Source organism: Homo sapiens, chromosome 11, assembly GCF_000001405.40.
Source record: "Homo sapiens chromosome 11, GRCh38.p14 Primary Assembly".
NCBI classification, from domain to species: Eukaryota; Metazoa; Chordata; class Mammalia; order Primates; family Hominidae; genus Homo; species Homo sapiens.
The window spans coordinates 3,347,541-3,356,968 of NC_000011.10; the positions used below are offsets into that span (position 1 = coordinate 3,347,541).

General features: G+C 43.3%; 1 pseudogene; it reads right to left on the reverse strand.

The window, feature by feature from the left end:
- On the reverse strand, positions 1,634–2,077 carry VN1R56P (vomeronasal 1 receptor 56 pseudogene; annotated as a pseudogene).

Sequence of the window (9,428 nt, forward strand, 5' to 3'; positions counted from 1 at the left end):
AACTTGAAATAAAGACTTGAATGTAGTATCTGAAAGTCTGAAACTACTACAAGAGAACATAAGGGAAAAGAAAATACGATATTGGTTTGGGCAATTATTTTTTGAATTTAACCTCCAAATGCCAGGAAATAGAAGTAAATGTAGACAAATGAGATTACTTCAAACTAAAAAGCTTCTGCACAGCACCACGTACAATCAATGGAATGATAACCTAGGAATGGAAAAATATTTTAAAATTATAAATCTGACAAGGGGTTAATATCCAAAATATGTAAGAGACTCAGCTGTACAACGAAAACAAGTAAGTACTAAAAATGAGGAAAAAACTTAGACATTTCTCAGAAGACATACGTATAACAAATAGATAAATTTGAAAATGCTAAACATAAATAATTATCCAGGAAAAGCAAATCAAAACCACTGTGAGACACCAACTCACTCCTTTCAGAATGACTATTAATAAAAAGACAAAAAAACAAAAACAAAAACAAAAACAAACCAAGGGTTGATAAAGGTGTGAAGAAAGAGAAGGCTTGCACATTGTTGATGGGAATGTATATTGGTACAGCCATTCTGGAAAACAGAATGAAGATTTCAAAAAAATTAAAAATGGAGCCACCATTTGTTACAGCAATCACACTACTGTTTATATATATATTTTTAAGGACATCAGTGTGTTGAAGAGACATTTCCATGCCCATGTTTACTGCAGCACTATTTACTATAGTCATGATATAAAAATCACCCCAAATGTACCGAAATCATGAATTCTGTGACAAATCCCTTCATTTCCAATCACACGGATGAACCTGAAACACATTATGTTAATTTACAGAAACCAGGTGTAGAAGGAAATATACCATATGTTCTCATATGTGACATCTAAACAAGTTCACCTGTTAAAGTAGAGAGTAGAATTATGGTTACCAGAGGCAGGGGTTTTTAGGAGGGCAGAGGGTTTGGGGAGTTGATTGTCAAATTAAGACATGATTACAGTGAGATAGGATGACTAAATTTGAGAGATTTATTGTACAGCATGTTGACTATACTTAACAAGGATGTATTGTGTTTTTAAAAATGAGAAGACAGTCAAATGTTTAGTTCTTACCACATAAAAAATTATATGGGGTAAAGCATATGATAATTAACTAGAATAAAGCACTTGACACGTATATACCTCAAAACATCATATTTTACATGATATATACACTTTTATGTCAATTAAAAGAATAAATAAACATTATAGAAGGCTAGCAATGTTCCAAATAATGAAGTCTCTTTCTTAGTCATAAGCTGAGCTAAACAGTATCAAAAATATATAGTTTTTGTGAAGGTTTGGGTTTGTTCTCTTGTTTGTTTTGTTTTTTGTTGCCCAGGCTGGAATGCAGTGGCACAATCTCATCTCACTGCAACCTCTGCCTCCCAGGTTCAAGTGATTCTCGTGGCTCAGCCTCCTGAGTAACTGGGCGTATAAGCACGCACCACCACACCTGGCTAATATTTGTATTTTTAGTAGAGATGGGGATTTTGCCATGTTGGCCAGGCTGGTCTCAAACTCCCAGTCTCAAATGATCCACCCTCCTCGGCCTCCCAAAGTGCTGGGATTACAGGCATGAGCCACCGCACCCGGCCTCGTGAAGTGTTTGTTCTACCCTTTGTCAGCCATAAGCATAGAAACTCTGTATTTTTACAGCACTTGCAGGACCCAGCACAGAGCACAGGAAAGGGCAGGCGCCTTTAACCCAAGGACTCCTAGAGTTTCTGGTACTCATGTTGATGGAATGGAAAATACTAAAGACGCAGGTGGCATTAACAGTCCCACCACTAGCTACGCTATGAACACAGAAAACAGGTTTACATTCCAACTCACAGGCAAATATTTAAATTCAGAAGCTGCCAGGACTCCAGAGATTTATCTAGAAACAATGACCAATGAGTTAGATACAGCTAGGTAGCTAAGACTGAGGACTGTAAACTGTGAACTACACAGATTACAGTATAGGAAAATACTATGACATGAAACTGAAAAATCCTCCATGATTCCAATATCTGGAAAGGAAAGATCGTTCAAAATTTCATTTTTTATTTTTAATTTTTGAGACAGAGTCTTGCTCTGTCACCCAGGCTGGAGTGCAGTGGTGTGATCTCAGCTCACTGCAACCTCCACCTCCCAGGTTCAAGCAATTCTCATGAGTCAGCCTCCCAAGTAGCTGGGAGTACAGGCGACCCCCACCATGCCTAACTAATTTCTGTATTTTTAGTAAAGATGGGGTTTCACCATGTTGGCCAGGCTGGTCTCGAACTCCTGACCTCAGGTGATCTGCCCGCCTCGGCCTCCCAAAGTGCTAGGACTACAGGCGTGAGCCACCACGCCCCACCCATTCAAAATCTTAAGTCCACAGAGGTCATTCTCCTGTTGCTCCACTTACACTCAAAAATACATTCTGCATGACAACATACATTGTGCTATAAGTATTTCACAGAAAATGTAAAACTTTTTAGTTACCATAAACTCTCCTAAAAATTATTTCAAAATATATTTTCTCTTAAGACATTTCAAAATTTGAAGTTTCTTAATACAGTGCTTACCATATACAACCCACTGGTATTAATGCTTTTACTATTCAAACTAATGTTATAGTAACCACACTGTGTTAGGACTTAATAACATCTACCTTTTACAAATAAATCCAGGCAATGCTAACTGACCGATTGAATTTTCTGGCCAGCAGACAGTGCACGGCTCTTGTCCCAATTAAGTGATCCAAATGTTGTATTCATAGCTATAAATGGCCTCAAACACTCCAGTGAAAAGCAATTTCTCACCACATTAGAAAATTCCAAACCTCTCCTCAGAACCTGCAAAGTGCTATGTGGAGCGATGTGAGGTGGGGAAAACAGTGAGAAAGTTGTAGCCGTAAGACAGGCAAAGAAGGGCTGTGATCAATGCACAATTAGGGATGAAAAGAGACAGCAGAAAGCTGAAGATTATTAGAAAATAAAACAAGTGGAATTCCTCTTCATACGTTTGGAGAAAGCCAGTTGTGTAGCCTGGGAACAGATGTCCTCTCTCCACATGCAAAATTAATACCATTTCTTCACCATGGATGTTTTCAGTCTCTAACCTGAAGACACAAACTCACTTCAACAGAATTATTTACTTCTAATTATGAAGTATGTTATTCGCCTAGCATTATATTTGTTTACTTCATTTATACATCAAAGCCCAACAACTTATGAAGCATCCCCAGTGTTTACCTGAACAAGTGGGCCCAATAAAGTACATAAACTCAACTATGTCCATTATAAAAGTCAAAAGGATAATCAAAGAAAAATAGGCTTAAACCGGGTTCTCTAACCGAAAGAAAAAAGTACTAATTAAATAAAAATATAAATTAATATACTCATTGTGAAGTTACTCACATCTGGAAATGATTTGGGGAGCATCACTAAGTTTTACAGATATTCTTCTTCTCATCCCTGGGCAGGTCATGGAAATAATGCTGCATGAACAATGGGATAGGAACATTCGATGTGAGGTCCAGCATGAATAACAGGCAAGTAAAAACAGAGGGTTTGCATGAGGAGATTCTGAACAAGGAGCCAGAATATTTTACAGAAATGAATTCAATACAAAGGAGAGAATAGAGGTTTCTTTCTAAATCTTTGAGGTTTACAGCTTTCTAGTAAATTATCAAGACTATTAAAATTGTTTCAATCCAATCTTATTTTTTTGTTGTGTGTACCTTCAAAATAGGTAGACACCCACACTCACACTCACACAATTACTTGCTCCATCTTTATTGTGTTTGCTTTGTTCTTTTTTTTTTTTTTTTTTTTTTGAGACAAGGCACGCTTTGCTGCCCTGGCTGGAGTGCAGTGGCATGATCATAGCTCACTGCAACCTTGAGATCTCCCAGGCTCACGTGGTCCTTCCACCTCAGCCTCCTGAGTAGCTGGGACTGAAAGTGTGCACCACCGCTCCCAGCTAATTTTTAAAAAATCTATAGTGGAGACAAGGTCTTACTATGTTGCCCAGGCTGGTCCTAAACTTTTCAGCTCAAGTGATCCTCCCATCTTGGCCTCCCAAAGTGCTGGGATTACAGATGTGAGCCGCCATGTCCAGCCTAGTTTATCTTTACAGTAATATATTTGTATATTTAACTCCATGTAAATCAAAGCTGAATCTATGTGCTCTGCAGGGCAGAGAAGTTGTACATCCAACAAAGACTATAGGAAAAAATTTAAAAATACTCAGAAATATACGTATTTTATTTATACACCTGTATAATATTTATTATAGCAATAATAGTGACTCTGTAGTTACAAAAAGAGGGAAAGGATTTTAAAAAATCCCTGGGAGATGCTATTCCACTATGCCACCCAGTAGCACCTTGTCACCATCTGTTATCGACATCTTCCACTAACATGGAATTGGTTTTTGGTAGGATAACCCTTTATTCTATGAACCGCAGGCTTAACACGTTTAACACAGTTGTGTTTAATTAAAAACAAATGAAGTTCACATAGAATCTTAAAAAGCATTTCAAAATTTATGGTATATTACCTTAACAAAATACTGGTAAAACTATTAATTTATAAAATTCAAAATGTTTCCCTCTTCCTATAATGCAGGTGTAAGGTCAGCCGAGAGAAAGGATGAGGAGACCCAAAGTCAGGCAAGCAAGCTTTACTGAGCTGCTTGGCTGCTCTACCACAGTTGAAGGAGGCAGACCCGCTTACAGACAATAGCAGGCTTTTATAGGGCCAGAACCAGGTCGGGGTTGGGGAGCTGAGTTGGGGGTGCAGGAGAACTGGGTCAGGGTCGGGGAGCTGAGTGAGTCAGGGGTGCAAGTGACTTGTCCGCATCCTGGAGATGTTTTTTTGCCAGCTTTGTTATGCGAGGTGAACAGATATGTTGACCGCATCCTGTAACTGTCCGGACAGTTACTGGAAGGGTCAGTGAAGGGGGATTTGTCTTTTGCCCTGGGGTAGCTGTGCGGAGAGCGCAAAGGACTGTATTGTAAGGCCTGTGGGAGGGGAAGGGAGTGGTCTGGTCGGGGCGACCCTAACATTTTAGCCTTTTAATCGATGATAGGAAAGGGGACGCCATTTTTCGCCTGGCTACTTCAAGCTGAGAGGGGGCAGTGTTTAGGGGGAAGGCTGGAAGGTAGGGGTTGGTCCTGGTACTGGTTTTGAAATTGCCGGTATTCTTGCAGTAGCGTCATGTCTTTCATGGTTCCGTGGGTGAAAGCTCGGACGCGGTTCCGTAAAAACTGGGTACAGAGACGTAAGAGGCAGGGCCCAAAGACTGGAAGGAGAATGGTTAGGACGGGTCCTAGGAGTGGGAGTAACCAGGAGGCCTAAGAGCTGAGAGACCAAGGGGGCCAAGAGGGCCAGGCAGAGGAGGTGATTTTTCTTTTTTCTGTGAGTGCGGGGGAGGGCTTGGTCTTTTAGTTGTTTGACTGCACCCTGAACCAGGCCTGACTGATTGAAATAGAAGCAGCATTCCTCATCTAGGAAGATCCAGAGACTTCCTTTTTCTGCAGTAAGCAAATCAAGGCCTTTGCGGTTTTGTAGGGTAACTGCTGCTAGGGAGTCTAGTTGGTTTTGGAGGTGGGTAATAGTCTACAATTTTTTTTTTTTCAGGAAAGCCTGTAAGTCTGTAGAGAGTGCCTGGAAATATGATAATGAGGATCCTCTTAACTGGTGTGTAGGAATAGATGGAGAGCGGAGGGTCCCTTGGGAGGAAGTGACAGAGCATATATGACAGTTTGAGGTTATGTTTTTTAATAAGGTAAATAGGTCGGGGGAAGAGAAATATAGGCAAAGGAGAAGGTACGGGGGGTGCACACCAACGTGGAAAGATTGGTGAAGGGATGTTAGAATTTTTTTTTTTTTTTTGGTTTGTTTTTGGTGGAGGATGAGTTTTTGATTATCTAGTTGCTTTCGAAGGAGGTTCCTTGTTGTAGTAGTGAGCCCTTTTTTTAGTGGGGAATTCTGGGGTTGGATTGTAGGGGTAATGAGGAGGAGAGAGCCAGGGGGAGAAGAAAGGGAGAGCTTCTTTGCTGCCTTATCAGCTTTCGTGCTTCTTTTTGAGATTTTATTTGAACCTGTTTGATGTCCTGCTTTGGTTGGAAGGTGTGCAGCCTGAAGTAGCTGGTAAATAAGGGGAGCTGTTAGTGATGAGGGTTCCTTTGGCAGTAAGGAATCCTCTTTTGCCAGATGGCAGCGTGGGAATGAAGGATGTGATAGGCATCTTTGGAGTTTGTATAAATGTTGACTTGTTTGCCTTTGGAAAGGGTTAGGGCTCTGGTGAGAGCTGTAAGTTCTGCTTTTTTGGGGGAGGTTCCTGAAGGTAGGGGCCTGGCTTTAATTACTTGGTCAAGAGAAACAACTGCATATCCAGCAATTCTGGAGGAGCCAGCGGGCCTGGAAGAGGAGCCATCTATGAATAGCTGGTCATTGGGGTTGGCGAGACGCTTGGAGGAAATGTTTGGGAAGTGTGGCTGCTGGTGGTCTAGGATGTCAGTGCAAGAATGAGTAGGAAGGGAAGAGGATATGGGGAGTAAGGATGCTGGGTTGAGGGGAGCACTTTTGGCAAGGCAGAATTTGGGATTTTTGATAAAGAGGGCATGGAGTAATTGAATCTGGGAAGGAGGAGGAGAACTTAATGCTTGGGAGGAGAGGAGATGTAGATTATGAGGACTGTAGATGGTGGTATTTGGGCTGAATGTTAGCATCTTGCTTTCTAGAGCTAAAACTGCTGCTGCTGCTGTACTGTAAGACAGGTTGGCCACCCTTTGACTGTGTTGTTGAGTTGTTCAGAGAGGCAGGCTACAGGAGAAAAGGAAGGAGGATTTTATTTTTGTTGTCTTAAGACACCAAGGGCTATTCTTTGGTTTTTTGGCAGTATAGAGAGTGAAAGGTTGGGAGATATTAGGTAAGGACAGAGCCGGTGCAGTGATAAGAGTGGTTTGGAGTTTGCGGAAGTTGGGGAGTATGTTATGTGAGGAGTTTAGGAGTTTATTGAGGGGGCCTTTGGCTGCTTTATAAAGGGGGTGAGCTAGGGGGGCAAAGTTGGGAATCCATATTTTTAAAAAGCCTGTTAGCCCTAGGAAGGAAAGGATTTAGTTTTTTGAAGAAGGTGGAGATAGACTGTCTATTAAGGCTGCCCATGCCGGGGTCATGGCTCGAGACCTGGGGGAAGGTTGAACTCCTAAGTAGGTCCCGGTAGGGGTGGAAAGCTGTTCTTTAGAGGGGAGACCCTATAGCCTTTATTAGTAAGGAAATTCAGAAGGGTGGCAGTGTGAGTTTGGGAGTTTTTTAGGGAGGGGCTACAGAGAAGGAGGTCATCTAGATATTGAAGAAGGCGGCTGGGGGAAAGATCCAAGGAGGCAAGGTCTTGGGCTAGGGCTTGCCCGAAGAAAAGAAGGCTATCCTGGAAGCCCTGAGGGAGGACAGTCCACGTGAGTTGTTGTGACTGGAGGGTGTTGGGGTCAGTCTGGGTGAAAGCAAAGAGGTTTTGGGAATCGGGGTGTAGGGGAATGGTGAAGAAGGCATCTTTCAGGTCAATTGTGGTGTAGTGGGTGGTGCTGGAGGGGATGAGAGGGAGAAGTGTATAGGGGTTAGGGACTACAGGATGAATAGGGAGGACAGCCTGATTGATAACTCGGAGGTCCTGAACGAGTTGGTATGAGCTGTCAGATTTTTTAATAGGGAGGATGGGGTTGTTATATGGAGTGTTGGTCTAAGACGACTGTGTGAGCAGAGCTTATGATGGGTTGTAAGTCCTTTGGTGTGTTAGGGAAGTGGGGTATTGGGGAATGTTGGGAAATTTAGAGGGGTCTTTTAACTGGATTTTGATGAGGTCCTGGTGAGCAGCTATGGAAGGGGTGATGGTGTCCCACACTACTGGGTTAATGAGGGAGGCGGGTAGCGGGTGCTGGGGAGTGGGGTTCAGGGGCCAGACTAGCAGAGAGGAGCAGGAGGGACTCTGGTTGAGGGGGACAGGAAAACATGATAGAAGCTTTGAATTTGGTTAAAATGTCTTGGCCTAGCATTGGGGTGGGGCAATGAGGCATGATAAGGAAGGAGTGTGAAAAAGCAGTATTAAACAGGGAACAAATAAATAATTCAGTAGCACGTGGACACCAGACCAGTCCATCAACCCCTACAACAGAGACCTGGGAAGGGCAAGTGGGTCCTAAAGATTCAGGTAAAACCAAGTAGGTGGCCCCACTATCAATTAAGAAAGAGACTGGCTTACCTGCCATTAGCAGAGTTACCCTGGGTTCCGATGCAGTGACGGCAGATGGGGCCGGGGGCCCTGGGCTCTGTCAATCTTCAGTGGCCAGGACAAGGAGCTGTGGGAGTGGGAGTGACTCTTCACTCTTCGTTTTGCCAGGGCCTTGAGGAACCGGCCTGTTAGTCTGCTTGTTAAGAGGACAATCAGACTTCCAGTGACCAGTTTGTTGGCAGGCTGGGCAAGGAGTTTTTGGCAATCATGGGTTAGGGCATGCTCGGGCCCAGTGACCTTCTTTGCAGCACTTAAAACAGGGCCCAGGAGGGTCACTGCTATGGGGTCTATTGTGCCCCTGGGCAGCCCGAGTAGGCTGACAAATAGCTGCTGCTAGGAGCTGGTACTTGGCACAATCTCCTTGGGCTTTATCTAATTTATTTTGCTCATCTCTGTTGCTGAAGACCTTAAAGGCCAGGTTAAGGAGGTCTCGTTGAGGGGTTTGAGGGCTGTCTTCTACCTTTTTGAGCTTGCGCCATAAGTCAGAAGCAGACCTTCCTGGGAGGTGGGGTTAACATGGGTGTATTTTTGGAGGGCCTCTGTAAGGTGGGAAAGAAATTTGGTGGGATTTTTGTCGGCCCTTTGGGAGACTTTTTTGAGCTTTTCAAAGTTACAGCCTTATGGGCAGCTTTATTAAGACCTGAGATAAGGCAAGTGATCATGTGGTTATGAGATGCCCGGCTGGGGTCTGTGGGTTGGTACTCCCGGGAGGGTTTTTCCCAGGAAACTGCAGCAGCCCCTATGGGCTTAGTACGGTCTTGTGGATGAAGATCATTGGCATGCCTGAGCTGCAAGCCACTCTTTTCTTTTCTTTTTTTTTTTTTCTGGGAGGAGAGTATAAGAGAGGATAATATAGAGATCATGCCAAGTGAGTCTGTAAGATTGGGTGAGGTATTTGAGCTTTTTGATATAAGTGTCAGGATTGGAGGAAAAGGACCTGAGATGTTTCTTAATTTGCGAAAGGTTAAGAGAGGGAGAAGGGAATGTGGACGCGAACGACTCCTTTAGCCCCAGCCACCTCTCAGAGGGGAAGTAAGGGGGCCGAGTGTTGGGCATGCTGAGTCTGAGAGCGGGTATGAGGTGGAGATGGGGAAGAATCAGAATCAGAAGCTGGGTGGTTGGAGAGAGG